This window comes from Homo sapiens, chromosome 13 (assembly GCF_000001405.40).
Source record: "Homo sapiens chromosome 13, GRCh38.p14 Primary Assembly".
Taxonomy (NCBI): domain Eukaryota; kingdom Metazoa; phylum Chordata; class Mammalia; order Primates; family Hominidae; genus Homo; species Homo sapiens.
In genome coordinates, this window is record NC_000013.11 from 46,566,300 (window position 1) to 46,593,958 (window position 27,659).

The following is a 27,659-nucleotide window of genomic DNA, read 5'->3' on the forward strand; positions in this document are numbered from 1 at the left end:
ATTCAATTGTTATCTTTTTTTTCCCTCACTCTTTTACTGGCATCCAGCATTTATTTTGAACTTCAGTCAGAAGTTATTTCACTAAGAACCTTGTCATAGCTTCAACATCTCCCTGAGGCTACTGATATGGTAACTCGGAAGGGGGAATAATGTTTGTAGGGCCAGACTCATGTCTGGGTCCAGGGTCTTTCAGAATGTTCCTCTTTCAGTTCTCAGAACACCCTTGTGAGGTCGGGAGTATCATCGTTACTGAGAAGGGCACTTATCACAAGTTAGGCAGTCAGAGTATATTTGTAAGCCAGTAGTAAGACAGAGCCGAAATTGGAGCCCAAACAGTTGTTGAAGAAGTGCAGGATCCTCCTCTATTTTAGTGTCACTGAATATTTAGAGCTAGAGGAAGAGACCAGAGAAGGAGATTTTGCAGATGAGAATCAAGCCTATGGCATTTCTACAGATGGTCCTCGGGGTGACATAGAGATTTTAGAGTTCATCCCCAAGTAGGACCCGGATTCCTGACTAATGTGATTTCCCCCACTGATCTGAAAGTGAGCTCAGAGACCCCAGATATATGCATGGGGAGTTCCAGCCCTAATCCTCACTTGTTTGTGATGGCCAGCTATCAGCTCCATTTCTAAGAATTGTGTTTTAAAGCAAGTCACAATTACTAGTTTTAAAAATTCTTCAAGGTATCTGTTATTAAAAAATATAGACACACATTTGGGTTTTCAGCTTTGGTATAAACTTTTCTTGTTAGACTTTGTAACACATGACCTAATTGAACAGTTTACTGATATTTTCTATAAACAGTTTACTGATATTTACTTTCCCTCCAGTGAGAAATGAACGAATTTCATCGAGTGCAAGACCAAGTTTACTTTCTAGAACATTACCTATAGAATACAAATGTTTACATTCCAAAGACTGTTTTATTATGTAATAAGAATCATCAATTTGACATATAAAAATATGTTTTATTTTGTAATAGAGATCTTTCTATACATTAATTACCTCTACAATTTTATAGATGAAATAGGGCAGCACAAGATTATGGCTAAAAAACAGATTTTTTTTGAGTGCATGCAAATCAAATCCAACTTAAAGGAATCTGTGCAATTGACGGCAAATAGATCTCTCTTTGTGCAGTTCCCTTGGAGGTGAAAATGATAATCTCTGCATGCAATTTAAGGCAATTTTGTGTGTGTGTGTGTGTGTGTGTGTGTGTGTGTGTTTTCCTGGTGTTTTAGAAAGCCTGGATAAATCCAAGTTAATTTTAGTTGTAGCAGTCATTCCATCGGTTATAGGCTTGTAATCAACTCTTAGCTGTGGTTTGTTCAGATATTTACAATGAATGCTTTCTTGTATCTATACAGTACTGTAAAAGGTACTGTGCTATAACTTTATAAGTACAAATGTGCCTAAATCTGATATATTTTATAAAATTCAGTTGGCAGCTGTGAAGGCTTGCTTTTGTCTCTTCCTCCCCTGCACAGGCTAAGTCCTTGGAATCAGTATGTTAATGAAGACTTGGTATCTCAATATGAAATTTGCACCATGGGAGTTCTGAGATAATGCGTCCTGATAGAGCCCCTAATGCCTGCCTCTTAGGAGGGCGAGTGACAAAGACAGTATAACTCAGCTAAGTCCTTTCATAATCAGGCAGCCTTGGTCTTTCTCAAGTGGTTCCATAGTTTCTGTGTGTGTGCTTTCTTGTGTTTCTGTGTCTCAGACCTCTTCTCTCCTTGGGCAGTCTGTCTGTAATCTTTTAATACTGCATGGTAGATTGGATTGGATGAGCCCCATCACCTTTGGATAAGAAAAGGCTTTTGGACACAAGTCCATGCAACACTCTTTTCTTTAGAGAACACAATAGATCACTGGGAACATCATAAGAGGTGCTCTCAGAGGGTGCTTATAAGTGGCACCATCCTAAATCCAGGTTTACCGGGGACAGTCTGGGTTTATAACTCATCCTGGCCTAATGAATAATAGCACCCTCTTTTAGCACAGCATGATTTAGATAAGTTATATGGTCACCCCATGCACATGGGATGTGGTAGATAACACCTTTTAAGAATAAAGTGAAATGGATTCAAGTGAAGTGACTTACCTACCCATGTCTAGTTGTGTCAGATTGAATCCAGAATTGGTCCAGGTTATCCTGGTCATTTCACCAGCTACCCATATTGCTGTCCTTTGAAGGAATTACAATGCTTGGCTGGTTCTCTTTTTTAACTTTCATGCCAAGAAACCCTCTTAGTAAAGTCTTAGACATTTGTTGTTTATTTTAGTTGGTAAAATACAGCATTAATTTAAAAATTACAAAATATTGCATACATAGGAAGGAGTCCGTACCCTATGTAGACATGATTTAAGTAATGATGATAAAACAGACATAGTGACAGAAGCATATAGAAAGGTGATCACCTGGGAAGGGGTGCAGAGAGGATGGAAACATTCTATGTCTTAGAATGGTGAGTACATAGGTAGGTGTATGTATTTGTCAGAACTCAGTGAACTCTGCACTTAAAATGGGTGCATTTTACTGTATGTAAATCATACCTTGATACAGTAGACTAAAAATTTACCTATTTACCACTATCCAACTTAAAAAGGAGAACATTTCCAATACCTTTTTAGCTTTCTGCCTGGTGCCGATTCCTGACTGACAAGCTGTTTTAAAACACAGAATAACTGAGGCTTTATTGCTAAATCAATGCCTCCTATTAGAAGACTGATATTTCTGTTTTAGTGGACGTTCTTTAATCTTTATTTTCCTTATTTCGAAACGTCTTGTTAACCCTCTTTACGTAGTCTTACTCATAAAATATTCTAATTCTGTATTTAACAAGCGGCATTTTATTTTAGTGATAGAAAAAACTGTGGCTGAACCAAGTTTTCTGGGATCACTGGAATGATGTTAGCTAATGGAGTCCAATGTTGAAAGCATTTGTTGCGCACCTACTGGATGTCAGACACTTTGCAGACACGATCTTATTTCTCCTCTGAGCCTAATAATAGGTATCATTTCCCTTAAATTTCCTCATGTGTAGAATTGAGGCCTATAGATGTTAAGAACTTGCCCAAGATCCCCATGCAAAAGTAATTAGGAGAATTAGGAGTCAGGGTTTGAGCCCCAGGGATCTAAGTACATTGTTAATGTAGAGAACTGCCCTTTGCTGGGAGAAGTTAAGCACTTGGCTGGCTCCCCTGGTTGTATCGTGTAGCACCAGGACCATGTGGCGTATCACTTCCAAATTTCCTAAATCACTGTGATCCTGCATACTCCTTGCCCAGACCCCTCCTGTGGCTCTCTCCTGCTTGCCCACCGAGGCTCAGCTGCCTAGCAGCAGATCCACAGGGCCTCTGGTATCTGGCGCCAACCCGCTTATCCTGCTGGGTTTTCCTCTAGCTCCCCTCAAGGGCCTGTGTGGCTCCAGCTGCCTTTTCCATTAGTGTTCCCATATGTTCCAGGTTAAGGCCTCCGCTTTGCCTTCGATTGTACCTTTTCTGTCTTCATTGCACTTGCCAAATAAAATAAACAAAACAAAACAATGACAGACCCCAGCTCTCCAGTCCCTGTCAAGCAGTCATCTCAAAATTTTAATTCCTGCCTCTTCTAGGATGCCCCAAATGCCAGCCTCCCTCTCTGCAACTCTACTCATCTTTTCATCTAAAACAGAGTTTATAATGATTGAGTTGGTCCTTAATTGTTCTTTAATTCCATGTCTTTTTTCTCTAATAAGAATAAGAATGATAATAGCTTCATTTATTGAGTCAGATATTGTGTTCTCCACTTTATGTGGCTTCCCTCAGCTAACTCCCAGAGCAATCTTGGGAGGTAAGTACACATTTTCTTCCCATCTGACAGACTGGAAAATTGAGGCTCAGAGAGAAATGCCTGAGATCACATGGCTACTAAGTGGCAAGACTGGGATTCGGTTTGACTTGAGTTTGACTACTCTTTGCTGACTTCTTGCAAATGCCTTGAGGAGAGTAGAAAAGAAAGGAAACTGACATTGACTGTGCCTTTGCTATGGCTTGGCATCGAGATGGTTTAGCTTATTATCTCACAGGGTCCTTATCCTGTGCTAAGAATCAGATCTCCAAAAAAATTGAGAATTAGATCTCTAAAAAACGGAGGCTCTGTTTACATAATTCATTCAAGGTCACAGCGCTGATTAGTGGAGAGATAAAAATTAAACCAGGTCTTTCTGCCCCTAGAGATGCTCCACTGCGTGCATGAGGACACTTTATTTCTTTTTCTTACTCTCTGCATGGCCTAGCATAGAGCTGGATATTAGGGAAACTTTTCAATTAGTTATAGGTTGCTTAAAAAACAACAAAAACAAAAGTTCCTTTTATTCTGTTAGAAGCATGAGCATATCACACATATTCCGGTAGGGAAGAGTAGTACCATAAAGAATGTTGGATTTTTAGAAGAGACAACGTAAAAGCAAAGGTGAGGTGAGATAGACACTTGAACAGAATGGCAGTCACAGAATTTCTTATCTTTTGAGAGATTTACTTGAGGGATTCTACCTTTACTATAGTAGAGGAGTGTCTAAAATTAAAAGACAGGAGAAGATGACTTAGTATTCCCATTCAGATTTTTAAATTGCTGTGTGGTTAGCTGTCTCCAGTCAGGCAGCTTCACTGCTCCTTTCTTTAACTGCCTTTCTCAGGCATAGAAGTAAAAAGAAGTAAAAGGTAACGGCCAGTTGCCCTCGGCCTCTCCATTGGTGGATTTGCAGAGTGCTGAAATTCACCCTAGAGTTTACCCTTCAAAGTAACTAGGCATTAAAAAACTCATACCTACAAAAAAGGAACTCCTTTGTGTTCCAACAATTGTTACAATATGTTAGACTTTTGGTGATCAAAACACACCTCCATTAACTGCTCCAGCATCTTGTGCATCTCAGCTGTTTGTGCGAGTCATCCAGCATGAGGGAGGATGGGTCTGCATCAGGTGCAGTTCCTGGGCCTTGGAATATGTCCTCCACTTTTGTTTGATCAGCGGCGTGTTTCCATTGAGTGTGCTGTGTGCCAAGAGAACAGTTGTCAGTGGTATTCGCAGTGATGCACATTAGCATGAGTGCCAGAGATTCAAGTGGCGACGAGTACCAACTCTGCCTTCCACCCATTGCTTTTTGTGCTCTCAGAAACTGGAGAAACGCTAGCTTTGCACACTGGGTTTTCTCGAAGCGGGCTAGGCGTATCATTTCCAAGGGCTGTGGAGCTTCCTGGAACTGTGCATGCTGTGAACACTCTCCCAGAATGATGAAATGCCAAAGTGCTCAAGTCACCATGCCTTTGTTCACTGGCTCCCATGCCTTTCTTGCTGTGACCATCCATGAGGCTTAGAACCATCACAGCTGTTTAGGAAATGGTCTTGGAGTCCAACAGACCAAGGTCAAATTCTGGCTCTGTCACTTAGCAGTTGGGTGACTGTAGGCAATTCATGTACCTCTCTGAACTTCTCATTTCTCATCTGTAAAGTAAGTGAGAGTAATAACACTTATGGGGTTGCTGTGATGACTAAAATAACAAATTCTAAGTATGTGGCACTTGGGGTATGTGTGTGTGAGAGAGAGAGAGAAAGAGCGGGAGGGAGGGAGGGAGAGAGAGAGAGAGACAGGCAGGCAGTGGCTGTTTTTTTGAACGGCGATGCCCACAGAGGGGGAGTTATTTTTGGAGAGGAGGGGGTCTTCTCACTGCTCCCAATTCTCATCCATGCTGGGGACGTGCATCTGTCTCTGCCACTACTCTGGGAACATATCTCTTGTCGGATACAGCTGTCTTTCTGTTGTTCCCTTGGTCTGCCAGCACAGGGCTGAGGCCATTCCCTGCACTCCTCTTCCTACTTGTACCCCCACTGCAGGCCATGCCTGGGGACTCCCTGACCCTGCTGTCCTTCTCAGCTTGGAGCTTGCTGCTCTTTATGGGGAGGACTTTGGTTCTCTTTGCCAGGCTGCCTGAGAAACAGGCCCAGGTGGTGTGAAGTAATAATCCCCAGACCAAATATGTTTATCGTCTTATTTGAGCCATCCTGAGACTTACTGCAACACTACTTTAAGCTTAGTGAGTTTAATTTGGATCACAGCCTATTATACATATGGCATGGTGTCAGCTTTTAGTAAAAGATAAAATAGGTGCGTGAAATGAAAGAGACATAGATGCCAGTTGGAGAACAGAGTGATCTAAAAGCAAATTCTGCATAGCAATATGAATACTTCAGAGTGGACAGGGGTATAGTTTGAAAGAAGCTACCTATAACGACTGTTTTCATTATATTGACTAAAGAAAAAAAAAGCTCGACAAAATCTCCCTAACTCGTGGAGTCATATGGAAGATAGAATAAGAAGACAGTGCACAATTGTGGGCAAAAGAAGGTAATGAAACATTGCAAAGACTTTAAAAAGCTTTTTTTAAGTTCTATATTCACAGCCACATTTCGTAAACTTAAGAGGTGCTGCATTTTTTTTCATTCATTCATCCATCCAGCAAATATTTATTATCTAGTGTGAGTAAACTTGCCCATGAGCCCATCCCTTTCCACTGCCTGTTACTGTATGTGACAAGGATAGTAGCGTGCTCAGTAGCTTGCAACCACGTTGCCTGGGTGAGCGACTCCTCCATCTACTGGCCCAGTGACCTTGGGCAAGTTCCATAACCTCTCTATGCTCTAGTTTCCTCATCTGTAAAAGAGAAATGATAATAGCACCTGTCACAGAGGGCTTTGGGGAATTGAAAATGCAAGGAGTGCAGAGCAATGCCTGGCATCTGAGAGACATTCAATACATGTTAACTCTTATCATTTGTTTTCTGACTTATTCATTTGCTTCTTTATTGTCACTCTCTCTTTCCATCATTAAACGCTGAGAGAAACCTTGTTTTCTCTTTTCTCATGTAACTACTATCCTTGGTTCCTAGGACAGTGTCTGCCCATGGTAGCAGCTTAGTAAATATTTGAGCCGAGTAAGTGAATAAATGGCTGGATGAATGAATGGAATGCATGAAGGCTGGACTCTGTGCTGGGTGCTTCCTAGACAGGAGTGAACAAAACTTGGTGCCTGCTGGGTATATGCCCAAAGGAAAGAAAATCAGTACAGCAAAGAGATATCTGCACCCCCATGTTTGTTGCAGCACTGTTGACAATAGCCAAGATTTGAAAGCATCCTAAGTGTCCATCAACAGATGAATGGATAAAGAAAATGTGGTACATATGCACAATGGAGTACTATTCAGCCATAAAAAGAATGAGATCCTGTCATTTGCAACCACATGGATAGAACTGGACATCATTATATTAAGTGAAATAAGCCGGGCACAGAAAGACAAACTTCGCATGTTCTCACTTATTTGTAGGAGCTAAAAATTAAAACAGTTGAACTCATGGACATAGACATAGAGAGTAGAATGATGGTTACCAGAGGATGGGAAGTGGAGGGATGGGAAGGAGGTGGGGATGGTTAATAGGTATGAAAAATAGAATGAATGAAGGAACAAGATCTAGTATATGATAGCACAACAGGGTGACTATAGTCAAATATATATATATATATATATATTTTTTTTTTTTTTGAGATGGAGTCTTACTCTATTCCCCAGACTGGAGCGCAGTGGCATGATCTCAGCTCACTGCAACCTCCACCTGCCTCGTTCAAGCCTCCCAAGTAGCTGGGATTACAGGCACACACCACCATGCCCGGCTAATTTTTGTATTTTTAGTAGAGACGGGGTTTCGCCATGTTGGCCAGGCTGGTCTCGAACTCCTGACCTCACCTCAGGTGATCCGCCTGCCTCGGCCTCCCAAAGTGCTGGAATTACAGGCCACTGTGCCTGACCATATAGTCAATAATAATTTAATTGTAATTTAAATATAATTTTACAGTAACCTAAAGAGTATAATTATCCTTTGTAACACAAAGGATAAATGCTTGAAATGATGGATACCCATTTATCCTGATGTGATTATTGCATGCCTGTATGAAAGTATCTCATGTACCCCATAAATATATATACCTACTATGTACCCCCAGAAATTAAAAATTAAAAAAAATTAACATTAAAAAATACAAAACAAGTGGTGTTGCCTGCATTTTAGAGCTTCCAGCTAGTCAAGTGAAGGAGAAGTCTAGAGATCTATAATAACCAAAGGTGCTAAGTGTCAATGCAAGGGAAGAACGGGGACACCATGCTGTATGGCATCAAGGAAGAAGTGGCATTTTCCGACTATGTTGAGTGGTGGACTGATAAACAAGAGCACTTTTTTTCTTTATCCATTAGAAGACTTAAAATAATTATTTGTAGATCCCACTTCCCCACTTTTTAAAGCATTTCCTTCTCAATTATTCCCTCTCTTCAAACATACAAACTTATACGCATATTCTAAAACTTGTAAAAGGAAGTTAAACACATTTTAATCATTTAAAAGGTTTTTTAAAAAGTCAACCCATGTAACTTAAAAATGATTATGAAGCACTTGTTTACTTTCGGTTGTCTGGCATTTATTTGTGTGTGGGGTTTTTTTTTTTTTTTTTTTTTTTTGGTGTATGGGCTATTTATTGCTTTTTCTTAATTTTTTCCTTGTGTGTTTGGAAAGCAAAATCCAAACAAAGTCCTTTTTGGCAGTGGTAATAATAAATATTCTGTTTAGCCTTTGGATGAGGTTTACATGATGTATCTATAAGCACATTCTGGAATATTGGAATAACAGTTTCCAATCCTTTTGATCAATGGATAGTGGGATAAATGAAAAGTTCCAACCAAAATATACCTACTGGACAAGAACCATCATCTTTTAATAGGCAGAAATCCTCTTTAGGGTCCAGCCTTCCTTTCATTCCTGTTCTACATTGTCAATGACTCTGACCACAGGAACAGAGAACTGCTGGATAGGGTGCAGTGCTGCTGGTCCCCTCTATCATCACCAGCACAAATAATTGTATTAATTTTTTTTTTAGGAGTGGAGTTTAAGCTCAGCTGTGCACCCCAGACATTGATGAAGATAGTCTATCGTATGACTTAGAGTCACAGAACCACAAGATGCGTGTGTGATTATCTAAATAAAGAGCTCTTACTGCAACCTTGTGACTCTGGTGATAGAACTGGGCGTGGGAGGGCTTTCTCATTCATGTGCTGTGCACACAAATGATTCTCTAAGTTGAAGGACACATTGCTCTGCAGCATAACTGAAAAATCTGTGCATGAATGTGTGTGTGTGTGTGTGTGTGTGTGTGTGTGTGTTGTGGGGGGGATGTGGTCTCATTCCTACTTGCAAAAATCCTCCAGAAGGGGTTTTCAAAGCATTGCACAGCTGTTGCTTGTCAGCTTCTTGTGTTGACTAGATGTCAGCAACACTTCCTCAACTTTGGACAATGACTTGAAAGCAAGATCAGTGTGTGCTCATGGGATGGATTTAAATGGAATTGAATGATACAGAAACCATTGCCTAATTTATATTTAGGTAAGTCATGTTTTCTTTCTCTCTCTCTTTAAATTTTTCCTGAAATGCATGTATGAAGCTCTTTTTGGCTAAAATGAGAGAATGAAGCAGGCTCCTGAGTCCTTGAGTGAAGAGGATCCATTGAGAAGTCCAGAGGGAGAGAGAATGAGCTTGATTAACGGCAGCACAGGATTGGCAGGAGTGATATAAAATAGTACATCATCTCAGAGTGACCTAATACTCGACTTTGGAATGCATTTTTATTTTTGGCAGTGGATTTACCTCCCTGTGTCCTGCCTGGACAAACGTTGGAATTAGTCAGCATTCCTTAAGCACATGCTGATTATGGCCAAAGAAAGTGGCAGGCTTGAGGCTTGCTGGCGACCAGGAGAAAGCCAGCTGGATTAGACATTTGCCGTGAGCCTTTTGTTCATGTAACTTATGGGGCAGTCTCCTAAGCCAGAGAAACAAGAAACTCAAAGGCAGTTTTAGCAAGGTTCTCATGCATGGCAGCATATTTTAATACTAATGCTCCCTTTAGGCAGGCCCTAAATAAGAATGTCTTGTTCTAATTTTTTTCCGTAGACTTAAGATTGTTGGGAAAAAACTTGTTAGAATTCCCAAGTGAAACCATTTAAATGCCTTGGCTTCTGATAACTGGGAGTCCTGAGTGAAGTTGTCAGTTGCTGCTGAACTCAGCAGAAATAATTGCGCTCCCTATGCCAATGATCTGTGCATATTTTGAGACCATTCTGAGACCAAGGAGGCTATCACAACATGTTCACATTGCTATCGTTGATTAGAGCCCTGAGCTTTACATGTTGTCTCCTGTGGTGTCCTTCGGAATATTGGAGAGCCATGCCTCTTTCCTTTCAATGTTCTCAACCTGGCCCAGCCAGGATTAGAGGCTCCCTTCTGAGGTTCAGTAGAATTTTATATTTACCCTTTATCATTATTCACCTTACTGTATTGCACTTCTCTGTCTACAGTCTCCAGCATTCCATTACAGTGCTAGGACTATGTTGGCATTTGTATTCGTTTTTCATTACTTCATAAGAAATTGCCCCAAATTTGGTGGCTTAAAATGATGCACATTTATGATGGCACAGTTTCTATGGATCAGGAGTCCAGACACAGTTTGGCTGGATTCTCTGCCCTAGGTCTCACAAGGCTGTACTCAAGGAACTGGCTGGGGCTTCTCTCATCTGAAGCTTGGAGTCCTTTTCCAAGCTTTCGAGGTTGTTGGCAGGATTCGGTCCCTTGTGATTGTGGAACTCATGGTGGCCTTTTTTCTTTCAGGCCAGCAGGAAAAGGTCTCTGACTTGAGGGTGGGCCCCAGTCCTTCTTTTATTTTATTATTATTTTTTGAGACAGAGTTTCGTTCTTGTTGCCCAGGCTGAGTGCAACCTCGGTGCCATCTCGGCTCACTGCAACCTCCACCTCCAGAGTTCAAATGATCCTCCCACCTCAGCCTCCCAAGTAGCTAGGATTACAGGCACACGCCACCATGCCTGGCTAATTTTTGTATCTTTTAGTAGAGATGGGATTTCACCATGTTGGCCAGGCTGGTCTCGAACTCCTGACCTCAAGTGATCCACCCACCTCGGCCTCCCAAAGTGCTGGGATTACAGGTATGAGCCACTGCACCTGGCCCCCAGTTCTTCTTTTAAAGGCATCACCTAATTAGGTCAGGCCCACTCAACAGTTGATTAACCTTAATTATATTTGCAAAATCCCTTTGCCATTTAAGATGACACAATAATTGGAATGATATCCCATCATATTCACAGGTCCTACCTATACTCAAAAGGTGGTAGGTTATACAGGGTGGATATAGTGTTGAAAGAAGGAATGAATGAAATGAATGAATTCTGATAGCTGGAAGCACAGCAACTAGCTTTTTTTGTAGCATGAGTGAGAGAAGGTATTGAGTTCCTTATTGAAGAATGCAGTTGCAACAGTTTATCACTAGTGAGCTGCTTCTTGGTAACTATAAGACATAAGCAGACAAGAAACAGCAAGAAAGGAAGGAAGGAGAAAAGAGAACGAGAAGGAAATCATTATTTTGGACCGATTTCCGGTGGTGGTTTCAAGAAGTTCTCCCCACCCTCCAGACTGCTGTCATTTACAATTGCTAGAGAACAAGAGCTGGGAGCCTCTCCTTGGTTCTGCTCCTGTGGCATAGCCATGGGGGATGCAGAAGGGCAGTGGTGCCCACTAAAGGGAATCCCCGTCAGCTTTGGTTTTAGTTTCCAGAGATTGAGCCTCTGCCTTAGGCTGAGAGAAAAACTTAGTGTGAGTCTTTATTTGCTCCCTTATAATCACAGGCACATGTGGCACCTCCTCCCCCATCTCTGCCCCACCTCTTCCAACAGTGAGATGCATTAGGTGTGGAAAGGAAGCCTTCATTTCAAAATCTCCTGGCTGCGGTTAGCTTTAAAAATCAAATGGAACTGTGGTCGTCTGTGTTTAATTTGGAAGAGCAGAAAGGATGCGTGCTTTGTGGCGCCTGCATAGTGAAAGTCTCCATGACTTAATACCACTGCCCAGCCTTAGAAGCTTCCCATGCAGACAATGGCCCTGCTTCCCCATCAGTTCTTGGGCTTGGGTGCCACCTTATATAAACATTGCTGCTTTTAGTGCATCGCAGAAGCAAAAGGATGACACATTAATAGCAGCTGGAGGATCTCATTAAAATTCGGAGGAAAATATGAAGGCTGGAGCCTGGTAATGTACAGACAGTAAGTCTTTGTCTGTCTGATTAACAATTGCATGCATTCTAAGTGCCTTGCTGGATGGTAAGAACCAGCATTTCAGCCAGAAGTACCATGTTCTTCTCCTTAAGAATAACCTATTTCTGTTTTTCAATTCCCTTATCCCCTCTAAAAATAATATGCTGGTCTTTTGGACTCCCTTGAGAACTGAAACAGCTTAGCAACTGGGGCAGTCCCTGAGAGCTGGTGCAGAAACAACTGTTGCTAGCTTGGATTTGAATTATGCAGTCAGATGCTTACATCGTGGGAGGGGGATGTACGGGGTGTGTGGCCTTCAGATGCTTACATTGTGGGAGGGGGATGTACAGGGTGTGTGGCCTTCATGCCAGAAAGGACAGGGAAGCACTCCCTGGTTGGCGGGAGGAGGGGAGATGCTGGGGTTGAGGCCCTTACCTTTATTTATGTTGTTCACTGGTACAGCCAGACTGCAACCTCTCAACTCTTCAGACAAGACCTAAGGCCGACAAAATTCACTCCCTCATGAAGAACATTGGGCTGTTTCTCCCTGGTGTGTAGGTGGTGGGAGTGAAGTAGAGGGGCTCGCTGTGTGCAGGGAAAGGGCTGCATTCTCAAGAATTTGTATGTAGCCCTTGGACTAAAAACAAAATATTCCAAAGGAATGCTTCTTTTGGAACCCTGGTCCAGTCCCTCGTCTAAGCAGGAGTGCCCTTATATGCTTGACTGTGGATGGCATCTGATTACGGGCAGAAGGTTGCACTGGATTGCTGCCTGATGCGGACCCACAGAACACAGTTTAACTCTGGCTCTGTCAGCAGTCATCAGTGTTTATTTTTCCAACTCTTCAGAGAGATATTAGTCGTTATGAAAAGTGTACCATCTCAGAACTCCATGGAATAAGCTGCCAATATAAGACAGGTTGAAATTATTGTGTCTTTTTGCCTAGAGTTATTTTTAGTTATTTTTTCTTCCTTGGAATTTCTTTTCTTTTTTTTTTTTAACCATATATGCTAACTTTGTAGCTGGTGGCAAAAAAAGATTATTTTCCCTATATTAATGACTTCTTCAGCTGAATTGAGGAATAGGGTTACCAGCTCTTTTCTTGGAGTTTAACACTCTCAATCTGATAATATGAATAACACCTCAATAACCACAACAAGAGCGGATCATCTTCAGTATCTTTCCTGAATTACCTTTTGGCTTTTCACCACCTTGTTTGTCCGTTTCAGAGTTTGTCTTTCTGTAAAATCATGGGAAGGCATCTGATTACTTTGTTCTTGATGTACCTGAGTAATGCGAACATCTGAATAATTGAACAAAAATCTTGTTTAAACAAAACTTTTGTTTCAGAAGCATCTGTCAAATTGTTAGTCATCTGACAATTTAAAATGTCAAAGCAAGAGTTGGCTGATCTTAACCTTAGCCTTGTCACATTATTAACTTCATGGAGCTTCAGAGTAACTTGAGAAGACTTGCAGTCTGTACCTGAAAAAGCCAGGTTTAGAAAGTGGCTCATGAAGAAGTAAAACCTCTCAGTCAAGTGGAATGTGCAAGGGAACCCCTAGGAGCATTTTGGCATGAACATTTCTTTTGAGTTTCTAGCCCAAGACCTCTTTATAACATTTGTTCCTCTCCCAGGTCCTCCTCCTACTGCCTCTAATTTTTAAATAAGTTCTGTTTAACTCATTTTTGGATAATAAGCTAGCTCTGAGAAAGCTTGGTAGAACTATTTTCACTGAAGGAGTTCTAAAACTGATCATATCTCTTGTCATCAAATTATAACCTGACTGTTGCCTGTTATCTGAAATTCTAAGATAGTGAAGAGAGTTATTTTACTTTTTCTTGTAGGGCCCTTCTGTCATTACTTCCTTGCTAGAATCCTATGTGTGATAATGAGGGAATGAAATTATCCAAAGGGTAATTTGCAGTATGCATCCTACCCAGCAGTTGAAACTACTGCAGCGAAACTGCAAGGAAACCTAACCCATGTTTTCTTGTAATGCTACCCTTTGGGGGTCATGCATGCTGCTTTCTGCTCCAACAGTCTTAACGTGGGAATTGGGGACACTTACTTTTTGACCTGGAACAAATCTCTAAGACTCGTAAGCCACCAATTGATTCACCTTTTGTAGCAGGGCTTGTATGACAAACTCTTTTGTGAGAACAAAAGGAAAGTCCCTTCCCTTTTTGCCATTCTTGTTCTGTAGATTAATTAGCAAAGACGTAGTGGAGAAATGTGTCACTTGCAAGACATTTCTGGCACGGAGTGGACCAAGTGGAAATGCTTAAATGTGTTGCAGGGATATCAAAGGGACTGAGCTTTTGGAACAAAGAGGAACAGAGCCCAAAGGACAGTTGGTACAAATTACACAATTTTCAGTTGGTTCTAATAAAGTTCTAGGAAAAGGGGCTTATGCACAAAGGCTGAGCTCTTGCCTCTGTTGTTCTTCAAATCCAAAATGTCATTAAAATACTAGTAGTGGTTGTCATATTTTAATAACATTTTGGATTTGAAGTGTGTAGCTGAAACTTACTCTTTGTTAATGGATGTATCACTGGGTGAGCTTCTAGACTGCCTCACCAATGGATCTAGCATTACCTTGGTTAATGAAATAAGGTAAAACACAGTCCCTGTGTACCAGAAAGCAGGTTCATGTGTCAGCTGCATCATGTCATTTGGAACTTTGCAGGTGTGGTTTTCCTTTGCTCCTTCAATCTCCTCATTTCTTTCATTGCCTGGATGAAGCCCCTGCAACAGGAGAGCTTTTGCCTCCTCTGCCTCACCTCAGCCCCCTAGACCTCTGTGTGCAACTGGAGTATGGTGTTAAGTGAGCCTGGAGCAGTCTTAGGAAAAGGCTTCAAGTGAGGCTAGGTGGGAAGGCCTGGGACAGAAATAAATTCAAAACAACAACCAAAGAACTGATAGGTGGAATAAAAGAAGTGGGACAGAAAAGATTCAAAGGTGGGAATTGAAAGAGAGAGGTACAGTAAGAATAGCTGGCGTCCAGTGAACATGTACAGTGGACCATGCACAGTTCCAAGCACGTTCGATTTATTATTTCATCTAAGACTCACGAGAACTCTATAAGACAAAGGTCTGACATTCTCATCCCCGTGTTAGATGTGAGGAATCTGGAGCACAAATGTGTAAGTAATTTTTCTGTTGAGAAATGGACCTATCAGGGGTTGAACCCAAGCAGTTTGCCTCCAGTTAATGTCCTTCGCCACTTTATATTGAACTGAGAAAAGGCGGGACAAAAGTCACAACCAAAGGTGGCTTTGGCCTTCAGAATATTCCACCTACTGCCATCAATATTCCACCTTCTCAAGCCCACATGCTCCTGTTTCTTTTTTTGTCCCCCCATTCCATAATTAATCATCCTTGCAATAAAAGAGACTTTTGGAAATTATTTTGGGAAAATGAAGTCTTTGGGAGGCCAAGGTGGGTGGATCACTTGAGGTCAGGAGTTTTAGGCCACCCTGGCCAATATGGCGAAACCCCCTTTGTACTAAAAATTCAAAAATTAGCCGGGCGTGCTGGTGTGTGCCTGTAGTCCCAGCTACTTGGGAGGCTGAGGCAGGAGAATCGCTTGAACCTGGGAGGCGGAGTTTGCAGTGAGCCGAAATCATGCCACAGCACTCCAGCCTGGGCGGCAGAGAGAGACTCCATCTCAAAAAAAAAAAAAAAAAGAAAGAAAGAAAATGAAGGGTATAGCTGAAATCTGCTCATTTCATGATCTTGACAATTTAAAAAACCTGATTGCTGTTGCAGTAGGACTGTTTAAAAAAGGAAAGAGAAAAATATATTTTTAAAAATCTGAGCATGTTGAAAGACACAAAGGACCTTTGTTACAAGTCACTCCTACCAATGGAAGAACAACCGTTGCTCTCATCTTTTTTTTTTTTTTTTTTTTTTGGTCATTTCATCTCTCCAGTGGCTGAGATCAATAAGAGATGCTCTATGGTTGCTTTTGAGTTCCTTTGGATGTCTTAATGAAGGGATGAACATATTGTTTTTTTTTTTTGACACAGGGTCTCATTCTGTCACTCCCTGCTGGAGTGCAGTGACACAATCTTAGCTCACTGTAGCCTTGACCTCCCGGGCTCAGGTGATCCTCCCACCTTAGCCTCCTGAGTGGCTGGGACCACAGGCACGCACCACCATGCCCAGCTTTTTTTTTTTTTTTTTTTTTTTTGTATTTTTAGTAGAGACGGGGTCTCAACATGTTGCCCAGGCTGGTCTTGAACTTCTCAGATCAAGCCATCTGCTTGCCTCGGCCTCCCAGAGTGCTGGGATTATAGGTATTCGCCGCTGTGCCCAGCCACATATTGCTTTTGATGTAGTTAAACAGTTAACTGCTACCAAGCTCTTCACAGAGGTTACTGGGCTCAGGAATAAAAAGGCTTCTACTCCAAATCTGGTAGCACCTTGCACCACAAAGACTTGCTCTCTCAGTAAGAAAACAAATGGCAGTTCTATATATAGTCAAGAGTGGAGGCAGGAAAAGACTACATTTCTGAAAAATGTGTTCCCAAGAAATCCATGTTAATCAATGTCAGAGACCATCCAGTTTTTATATATTGCAGTCTCAAGAAATATTCTGCCACAGATTCTCTAAGGACTGATCATAAAACACAAAACCTTTTTATCTTTTGTAAGTTTGTCAGTTCTAACATTAAATGCTTAATTTTGACAGTTACCAAAACAAGTCGATTCTAGCTTTCCTTTTTTAAAGTTTCAGGTGAAATTTGCTATAATCTCATGTCCATCCTCATTCAGGCATGCTGAAAGCACTAATATTCTGTTTGCTTTTGAGTGCTAAAGAAATATAGCCCATGAGATTACTGGCCAAATTGAAAAGAATGAGGCTTATTGTACCAAGATATCTTTCTTGATAAATTAAGTCAATGATCTATTTCCTGCACTAGAGGTCTTGATTGGGTATGTCATAGCGTAATTTTGTTTGCCTTCTGAGGCACACCTATTCTCTTGCTCTTTAACTTGGAAAGCTCCTAACTCAGAAGCCACTCTGTGAACATATGGCTCCAAAGATTGCTTCAGATTCCTGGCTGCCTGTGCTAATGTCAGTACTCACCTTTGGACAGGATATCTAATTTTTAGATTCTAGACAGTTGAAAGTAACTAACCTCTCTAGGTTTTTCTTCTGTTTCCTAGAGTAAATGTTATCAATGTGATTTAATCTGACTAGATTACTATACATTTTTGAACGTAATCATTTATTTGTGTTTATATTATTTGCTCTTGTTTCAGCTACGGAATTTTTCTATTTTTTTTTTTTTTGAGACAGTGTGTCACTGTGTCCCCCAGGCTGGAGTGCAGTGGCGCAATCTCCGCTCACTGCAACCTCCGCCTCTCAGGTTCAAGCAATTCTCCTGCCTCAGCCTCCCAAGTAGCTGGGATTACAGGCGTGAGCCACTGCGCCCAGCCAAGGAATTTTGCTTTCTTTAGTCAGCTAGATTTTAAACTCCACGAGGTCAGGAAACTTACTTTTCACACGTTTTTCCTTCTTATAGAATAATATTTTCTCGATATGTTTTAGAGGTGGTATTTTATAGGCAGTGGTTAAAGACTGAAAACTTTAACCACTTTAAACTCTGAAATTCTAGGCAATGGGATTTGTACTGAAAGACATAGGATAATTATGACACTTCAATTATAGTCCGTTCAATTCACCACTGGGGTGGTTCTAAGTTTAGTTCATGGTGGCTTTCTCCCAGGAAATCTAAAGTACTTTACATATATAGCTCCATTGTTTCTCATAGCATGCAACCTTAACCCAGTGTTTTCACATGTGATTTGAGAGCTCGATACCCAAATTATGGTCCATGCACCAGCAGCACCGGCATCACCTAGGAGCTGGTGGGAAATGCAGGCTCTCAGGCCTCACCCAAGGCCTCATGAATCAGAGTCTGTATTTTAACAAGATTTCGGGTGATCTGTGTGCACATTACAGTTTGAAGAGATAAGACACCAAAGTTAACTATTTTTCCTGTTATCACATGGCAAGTAGATCTCCAGTCCTGAGTCTGGGTTGCATAGCTTGTGATGTTGATGTTGCAAAGATGCAGGTGCCTTCTTTTCCCATGATGATGCAGAGCCCCCTCAGCTCCTGTTGGAGCCTGTGATGGTCTCTACACTCCGTGTTTTTCTTCTTAGGCTCTTTATCTGTACCTGCGTTGCTTTTGTCCCTTAAGGTTTTGTCCCTTTGATTTCCTCTTAAGTGCTCTGAACTTAATCATTTTTTGTTTCTTAATTTTAACATGGCCATTTCAGTCTGATGACAGTTTTATAATCAAAACCCACATGCAATCGATTAATAATGTTTTATAAAGCAACAGTTGCTACGAAAAAAAGTGGATCTTCCTGAGATGAGGCTATATGTAAAATATGGATGGAATTTGTATGCCAATTGGGAACTGATGGAGAAATGTATTTTGGTCTGACATAAAAGTTCCTTTCTCAAACTACTTTCATACAACTAAGCAATGAAAGAGCAGAGAATTCTCAACTTGCTTCACTACTGGAAAGTAAAGGGAAATTTATGGGGGTAATAGTGACATTGAGAAGTAGTTCTTTAAAGAACTGCATTTTTCATAGGTAACTGGAAACATTTCCAGCTTTGAAAATGAACAGATATCTTTTTCTCTCATGTTTAGTAAGGCTTTAGAAATGAGTAGGAACAATTTGGTAGAATTTCTTACCTGTATTTCAAAACATGCTGAGTCTACTTGTTAAGTAAGATGTTTTAAAAGCATTTGGTCCTTGGAATTCTGCTACTCATAAGAATGCATTTCTAGAGCCGGGCGTGGTGGCTCACGCCTGTAATCCCAGCACTTTGGGAGGCCGAGGCAGGCGGATCACGAGGTCAGGAGATCAAGACCATTCTCGCTAACACGGTGAAACCACGTCTCTACTAAAAATACAAAAAATTAGCCAGGCATAGTGGTGGGCGCCTGTAGTCCCAGCTACTCGTGAATCTGGGAGGCGGAGCTTTCAGTGAGCAGAGATCATGCCACTGCACTCCAGCCTGGGCGACAGAGCGAGACTGCATCTCAAAAAAAAAAAAAAAAAAACAAAAAAACGCATTTCTATAACCTGCACCGATTTTGTAGAAATTAGTGTGATCTGAAGCTAGTTGTCCTGAATATGCTTTATGTAAATATGTGTGGCTCACTCAAGTAATTTTCATTCTTTAGATTACATCTCTCGATCTTTTTGGATGTAACTGGATTTGCTGGAGTTAAGAAAGAACGTTGTCATTCCCCCTGCCCACCCCCACCTTCCTCGGCTATTGATGTAATAAATGTAATTACGGTACTAAGAAATCCTTTCCAGCTGAAGGAACAAACCACAAAGTCTGTGCTTTAAATCTTTGTAATTTTTTCTTTCCGTTTAAAATCTAAGCCATATATTCAGATTTGGGCGTGCTTTTTGCAGGTGTCTATTTTTAGAGCTTTCCCTGTTTTGTAATTTCCCAGTTCTCAGTCATGAGTATTGGGGAAAAATGCACATTAAAATTGGTTTTTACTTTTGTTTTATTTTAAAATTTGTTTTGAGTTTTATAACTTTAAAAGCCTCGTGCATTCTTTTCACAGCTTCCAGCCCCAGGAACATGGCAATGGAACATGTTTATTGCCAGTCTAGCATCTAGAAAAAGCTAACTCCTGGATGACACAAAGTAAATGATTGCAAAAAGAAAGAGAGAGAGGAAGAAAGGATGACAGGCAGGGGAAAGATCAGGGGGTCTGACCACAGAGGTGGCGCATTTTACTGAATTAAGCATGATAGTTGTTGCCCAGGAAGGTCTCACAGAGGGCCACATGTGGGGTCAGAGGTTGCCTGTCACATGTGGTTGGCAGCCAGAAACAGCCATAGCAAGGCTGAGGGGAGCATCATTCATTTTTTCATTCAGTTAGGTTTTTGTTTTTGTTTTTTGAGACAGGGTCTCCCTCTGTCACTCAGGCTGGAGTGCAGAGGTGCAATCTTAGCTCACTGCAGCTTCCACTTCCCCAGGCTCAAGGGATCCTCCCACCTCAGCCTCCCGAATAGCTGGGACTATAGGCACACGCCACCAACACCCAACTGATTGTTGTATTTTTAGTAGAGATGGGGTTTCGCCATGTTGCCCAGGCTGGTCTCAAACTCCTGAGCTCAAAGCAATCCGCTGGCCTCAGCCTCTCAAAGTGCTGGGATTACAGGCGTGAGCCACCATGCCCAGCTTCAGTTAATGTTTATTGAGTTCCCTCCCTGGGTTAAGGAATGATACTTCAGCTTTAACAGTGAGGGGTAGGCGCCAGGATCAGGTCCTGGGATGTGTGGCTGTATTTTTCTGGCATGAGCAGCTTTCTCAGGCATTGGTTCTTTCCAAGCAGGAAAGTTTATTAGAATTTTGCACAGATGCGGTTCATTTCACCCAGGATTTTGTCTTAGTTTTAGCAGCAGAGACAGTGAATCTCACTGGGTCTTAATCAGGAAAAGGAGTTGGCCGTTAAATGACCTCAGGAGTGGCTTCTGGCTTAGACCCTGGAGATGCCGTGTGGTTTGCTAAGGATCAACTAGCTCATGACAAATACTAGAAGAGACTTAATAAATCTGGACCTTTCTTTACCAATCCAAGTTGCTTGAGTTGTAAATGATGTAAAAATAGCACCCTACAGACACTAGTTGTTCAGGGTGAAATCTCTTATTTCCATTAGCCCTGATTCTAGAGAAGAGTGGAGAGTTGGCCTTAGGTGCCCTCTTTGTCTTTGACTGTATATGTGGCACACTTTCTTCAGCCAATGGAATGGCATACGTTGTATGCCATCTGCAAGAGCCTGATAAGTTGCATTACAAATAGAGTGTGCAAACAATAGTACTGATTAAGTGACAAATGTTGAGGCCTGGGAACTGATTTTTGGCACTGACAAATTAAGGCAGATTAGACCGCCTTTCAGGACACTTTTGATAATGCTACGTGTATGTGAAAGAAGAAGGTATCAGAAAAAACTTAATAGAGTTTCTTAGCAAGAGTACTGGAACATAATTGTGGATGCCTAAGAGGAAGTGTTTGAGTCAGGAAAATTTCAGTTGTCCTGAATTGATGAACGAGTCTCTTTTTAGTAAATGCTTCTTTTAACGGTCATGGTTAGTTAGGACTTAGAGACAAATTACAGAGTAGCTTATTGTTATTTCTGTTGTTGTATAATAAACTTTTGGAGATGAACTTCATTAAATGCCCCTGGTCTGGTTTTGTTGGTGAAAAGCTGAAATAAATCTATTGTTGTTAACATCTGTGGTGATATAGACTTGAAATTATAATCTTAGCATGGGTTAGAGGAGCTGTGAGAAACAGTGAAAATTCATATAGCACTTATTATACACAGTGTATGAAATTAATAATCTCTGCATCCTCCTCCCAATTGCTGAAATTATTCTTACGGTTTCCATTTCATTGTGGTACCATAGAGTATGTAAGGGATGCTGGGGCTAAGACTATTAGCATTATGGGAATATTTAAATATAATTTAATATGAGAAAAATCAGAGGAATGTGCAAACTCTAGGCTGTATTTCTCCCTAATGGGTAAATCCAGTCATATATCTCTGACAGAATTGTAAAAACACTGAGTTATTTGATCTTTCCTGACTGACTTATCTTGGAGTCATTTATATTTATAACATGCTGTGCACCAAAGCATGAAAAGCAGAAGCATACAGTTTCGCTCTCATCTGAAGTAATAAAATATTTTTTATTTACATAGTCAATCTGGGATAGATTATAGTAGAAAACCCCTACAAATCTGAGATACTGAAAGTGGTAGCCGTTTTCAGAGATAAATAAGTAACCTATTAGCCTGATTAGATGTCTTTGCTACTCACATGGTAAATAAGGCGTAACTTTGCTTGTTTACTCCTTTAAATTTCCTTATAGATGTACTTACTTTCTTTTTATATGTTTAAGGTCTTAGTAGAATTTCATCCCTTCCTCCAGCTTTTTATTGTATAAAATGTTAAATGTGGAAAAATTGAAGAATTTATGTAGCATAGCACATCTGTATATCTACTACCTAAATTAATTAATTAACATGGTGCTGTATTTCGTTTCTCTCTCTCTGTCTTTTTTTTTTTTTTTTTTTTTGAGACAGTCATCTCGCTCTGTCACCCAGGCTGGAATGCAGTGGCGCCATCTCCGTTCACTGCAACCCCCGCCTCTCGGGTTCAAGTGATTCTCCTGCCTTAGCCTCCCGAGTAGCTGGGATTACAGGCGCCCGCCACTACATCCAGCTAACTTTTTTGTATATTTAGTAGAGACGGGGTTTTGCCATGTTGGCCAGGCTGGTCTCGAACTCCTGATCTCAGGTGATCTGCCTGCCTTGGCCTCCCAAAGTGTTGGGATTATAGGTGTGAGCAACCGTGCCCAGCCTGCATTTGCTTTCTCTATTTGTGTGTGTATATGTGTATGTGAAGGTATGCGGATGTGTGTATATATATATATATGTTTTTTGCTGAACAGTTTGAGATTAATCAGGGTAAGGAGATGTCATGATGCTTACCCTCTCTCTCTATATATTTTTTAAGGCAGGGTCTCACTATGTCACCCAGGCTGGAGGGCAGTGGTGCAATCATAGCTCACTGCAGCCTCGAACTTCTGGGCTCAACTAATCCTCCCACCTCAGCCTCCCAAGTAGCTGGAACTATAGGCACATGCCACCACACCTGGCTAATTTTAATTTTATTTCTATAGAGAGAAATCTTACCATGTTGCCCAGGCTGGTCTCAGACTCAAGTGATCCTCCTGCCTCAGCCTCCCAAGTATTCAGATTATAGGCATGAGCCACTGTGCCTGGCCTAAGTTCTTGAGCATCTGTTTCCTAATAGTAAGGGCATTCTCGTACATAAAGACACTAACATTTCAAAATATGAAAAATGAACGATAATTTTCTCATTATATCTGGTATCCAGTCCATATTTAAATTTATCTAGTTGTCTCCAAATTGTCTTTTATGGCGATTTTTTCTTCCTAAATTCAGATACACAGTGCTCATGCATTGCAATTCATATTGTAGTCCTAAACTCTTTTATGTTTAATCTAGCATCTAGAACAGTTCTCTCACTTTTTTTTTTTTTTTTTTTTTTTTGAGATGGCGTTTTGCTCTTGTCACCCAGGCTGGAGGGCAATGGTGCTATATTGGCTCACTGTAACCTCCGCCTCCTGGGTTCAAGTGATTCTCCTGTCTCAGCCTTCCGAGTAGGTGGGATTACTTGTGCCCACCAACACGCCCAGCTAATTTTTGTATTTTTAGTAGAGACAGGGTTTTACCACATTGGTTAGGCTGGTCTCGAACTCCTGACCTCAGGTGATCCAATGGCCTTGGCTTCACAAAGTGCTGGGATTACAAGTGTAAGCCACTGTGCCTGGGATTTTTTTTTTTTTTTTTTGACATTGACTTTAGAAAGAGACCAGGCCACTTGCCTTGGAGGACATCCCACATGGAGGATGTGTCTGATTGTTTCCTGTTGAGGCTGTTCAGTTTCTCTCATTCATGATTTCCTGTAAACTGGAAGTTAGGCCAGAAGTTTGGAGTTTATTAGTTCAGTTAATCTTTTTTGGGAAGATGAGGTAGAGGAGATTAAGAAAAAGTCAGTGTCATCTTCGCAGAGTGATTTTTCTTAAAACCCTGGCCTCTGTGATATTGAGAAAGTCACAATATTGGAAGGTGACACTTGTCAACTTCTGATTAGAGTCTCTTCCTTATTTTAAAAGACATGAACTAAAAGTTGACTGGGTTTCCTGTCCTCCCCCCTTCACCCTATCTCTTTCTATCTCCTCTTCTTTGCTCTTCCATGGCCATGAGTATGTGCCACTAATAGGACATTTTCTTACAATGTGGCAATTTCCTTGTATACGTTTATGTCTAGCCCACCATTCTATGAGCTGCTGACAGCAGGGAGGTGTTGCTTTTTTTGTGATTTCTTGAAACCCAATATAATTCAGTGTTATCACAGGCCAATTTATTAACATTTAAAACTCTCTTCTTGGCCAGGCGTGGTGGCTCACACCTGTAATCTCAGCCCTTTAGGAGGCTAAGGCAGGAGGATCACTTGAGCCCAGGAGTTTGAGGCTGCAGTGAGCCATGATTGCAGCACTACACTGCAGCCTGGATAACAGAGCAAGACCCTATCTCAAAAATAAAATAAAATAATAAATAAATAAAAGTCTCATCTTAAATTTGATGGGGAAAGGAATTTTCTGGATCCACAACTGAATTGTCTATGCTTGGCAGGCAGATGTTTTCTCAAATGGTGAATGGATTCACCTTCTTTCTCTTCCCTAGTTTAGCTACTTTCACTCCCTTCTAGTCTTCATATATTCCCAAGTGAAGTGAGAAGATAGGTCTGTATATCAGTGACTGTCCTTTTCTTTTTTCTTTTCGATTTCTCTTTTAGGAGCTGAGATGTTTCTTCTCTGAACTTTATTTTTCATTGCTTATGGCTTTTTTTTTTCCCCCTGTAAGTTCTCTGCGAGCTATACACCTGTGGAAATATAGGGACTCTCCTTCATTTTCAAAGAGCTCAGAATATCGGTGAGACAAAGTCCCTTCCTGCCTGGACATTCAGATTGGCCCTATGGACTTAAATTGTCAAGCAAGTATACTTTTTTGTGTGCCCCGCAACTTGGCCTAAACTTTGCTATAAATGGCAAAGTTACTGAATTGCCTTGGCTCCATACCAAATGTTGGAAATAATTTTAGGATATAAAAACACATCTTTCATATGAAAGTATTTCTTTTAGGGTCCCTTGATAAGCATATATATGTGTTACTCATTTTCCTAATGAATTAGTTCCTTTCTTCAATTGTAAGGATAAACCCTCATTAATATCTAATTTGTTGGAATGAAAATGATTCCAGTAACATTTTTATGACTTCAATGTGACTCCCTTATGAAAAGGCATAATGGAATGGCTACTTTAATCAAATTTGAAGAAAAAAGAAATATTATTCTGAATACGCACTTCATAAATAGGAAAGGCAGTTTTCAGCATTTACTTTAGGTATCATTTATTCAGTGAGAGCTTGAGGGTAACCCCCAGGTTCCTGCAGGCAATTAAGACGAAAGTCATGATTTTGGAGAGCTCTGGGTTTAGTAAAACCACATTAGATTAGAGTTCTTAGACCAGGAAGGGGCCCTAGAAAACCATCAGATCAAGCCTCTTGCCTTTAGGCAAATAGGATACTAACCCCTGTTGACAGACAAGCATATTTGAAACCAATAATGGTGTTTTGAACAAAAGAAAAATAGGGGCTTGGAGCCTGGGTTTTCATCTTTTATTGCACTCTTCCTACTGTAATTATAGTTTTATTTTTCAATTCAATTCATTGGATCCGAGAGGAGCTCATTTATCGATTTGCAACCTAAGTATTAGCCATGGAGTCATTCTTGAACTTTGCCGTGGACTTGGGTGAAAAATGTTTCTGGTTTTCAAGGCTTCCCTAGTATCATATGGTATTGGAATCAAAAATAGAGTATTGTTTTAAAACTGTCAGCATAGGCAGAACTTCTCATCCAGCAACGCATTCCGTAGCTCAAGTCCTCATTTTGAACATAGGATTGCAATGCTGAGCCCCTACCATCTTTCCACTGGAAGGAACAGTTGGGCAGCTTTTTAAGGTACGGCGCCTCGTGGAGGACTCCATTAATGAGGAATCATGGTCTCCTGACTTTGGATTGATCATTTTTGTTCAAAACAGGAGTATTCCTGAGTCAGAGTCAGCCACAGCTTATAGGCAACAATTTTCAGGAGACAACATCCCAAGTTAACTGCTTATGGCCCCCAAAACTGTAAGGCTTGTGATAGTGCCCCAGTGAAATATGCCACTGTGGCATTCCCATCCTTTTAGCTCCTGGATTTCTCCTTTTCAGCCCATAATAGGCAAGGGCAAGTAAGGGAACTAACAATTATATGAGCACTTCCTCTGTCCCACACATGGTGCTAAGTCCTTTAAAGAAAACAAGGTTTTCTTCACTGGTTCTCTATGGCCATTATTAGAGAATGCTGGAGTCACTGATCTGGAAAAACCTGTTTAATTCCTTGGTCTCAATTTCTTATCTGTAAAATGAGATTAAATTGGTAAAATATGTGAAGCACTTAAAAAGTATGTTTTAAATGGTACTTAGTGTTACCCACTTCATATACATTTCTGCCAGCTCTATCATACCTAATCACTCATTTGATCATGTCATCCTCTTCCCAGTCTCTGTTCTTTGAGCTGAAGAATGTTTGGTGATTCCTGGCTGCTTCTGGGCAAAACTCCTTAGTTTGTTGTGTGATCTGGCCCCGTCTTACCTCTTTAGACTGATAGATCCCTTCATTCTCGCATTGGTATTAAAAATCAATATAGACCATGATTTTGGGTTTATGGCTTCTGTAAGTTTGTGAGGTTTCTCTACCTAAAATTCCCTTACCACCTGTCCTCCTATGTCCCTTCCCTCTACAGTCTCCACCTGTTCAAATCCCCATGTCCCTTCAGGACACGGGTCCCAGCCTCTGCCCCAATGTAGCCTTTCCTGCTTGCCTTTAAACTGGGAGTAATATCCTCCTTTGGATTACTAGCCCTGTATTTATAGCTGTTTTGAAACCCTATGGAAGTGTAGGCTTTGAATCATCAAAAAGTATTAAGTGATGTTCAGTACTTCCATTTACTCAGTACTAAAGTTCATCAGTGTATTTTCAAACATTTTTCAACAAGACTTGAAATAAAAAAAAAGTTTTTCCTTAAGAGGTTTTTTCTTTCTTTCTTTCCTTTTTTTTTTTTTTTTTTGTCCATTTGACATCTGAATCCTGAATTGACTAGACAAATTTGGTTTTTCTAGTCAGTGGTTAACTGGGACATGCCATTCTTCAAACATTTCTAGGAATCCCAATACCTAGTAGCTGATTCGGTCGTGCTGGAGAATACAAAGGCAGTAATCAAAGAGCCTACACAGAGAGACACTGAATTTTAGAACCAGGATAAATCAAAGTGACTTTAGTGAAACGTCACCACGATCTGACGTGATCTGAATAAACCACAATCTCAGAGAGTGAGGATATGTTTTGAGTAAATTTGTTCTGTGTGTTGGCGAGAGTGGCTGCCTAGTTAACCGTGGGCAGGTCTGTGAGTTTGCGGCATGCCCCTTCGTTCCAGCTGCTTGCTGATAGGCTGGCCCAGGCGGGATCCATCCTTCTGATCGCCAGGTCCTGATGAGGCTGGTGCCACCACTACATCCATTCCAGGGAGACTCCCAATCTCTGTCAGTTTCTTCTGCTTTTCTGAATTCTAAACTCACTCTGATCTGATTTCATTATTTGTCTGTTGTGGTAGCTTTGGTGAAGTTGGACCACAAATAATGATATAGAAGAAAAAATGAACTTTTTTTCTTCTTTCCTGTGTCCTTTTATCAGGTATCATTTCCTCTATAAAACTAATTTTAAGTTG

At 40.9% G+C, this 27,659-nt stretch overlaps 1 protein-coding gene across 5 annotated transcripts in view, besides 4 other annotated features; it reads left to right on the forward strand.

The window, feature by feature from the left end:
• Nucleotides 1–27,659, forward strand: part of LRCH1 (leucine rich repeats and calponin homology domain containing 1) — a 199,872-nt gene that overhangs the window by 13,130 nt on the left and 159,083 nt on the right. The gene's annotated exons all lie outside the window — the stretch shown is intronic.
• Nucleotides 5,357–5,406: a silencer, noted in NCBI's record as "silent region_5324". NCBI's record gives its function as "represses an Ori minimal core promoter by ATAC-STARR-seq in GM12878 lymphoblastoid cells {active_cell/tissue: GM12878}" and the evidence as "EXISTENCE:reporter gene assay evidence [ECO:0000049][PMID:35858748]".
• Nucleotides 11,716–11,765: an enhancer, noted in NCBI's record as "active region_7705". NCBI's record gives its function as "activates an Ori minimal core promoter by ATAC-STARR-seq in GM12878 lymphoblastoid cells {active_cell/tissue: GM12878}" and the evidence as "EXISTENCE:reporter gene assay evidence [ECO:0000049][PMID:35858748]".
• Nucleotides 12,136–12,445: an enhancer, noted in NCBI's record as "active region_7706". NCBI's record gives its function as "activates an Ori minimal core promoter by ATAC-STARR-seq in GM12878 lymphoblastoid cells {active_cell/tissue: GM12878}" and the evidence as "EXISTENCE:reporter gene assay evidence [ECO:0000049][PMID:35858748]".
• Nucleotides 12,766–12,815: an enhancer, noted in NCBI's record as "active region_7707". NCBI's record gives its function as "activates an Ori minimal core promoter by ATAC-STARR-seq in GM12878 lymphoblastoid cells {active_cell/tissue: GM12878}" and the evidence as "EXISTENCE:reporter gene assay evidence [ECO:0000049][PMID:35858748]".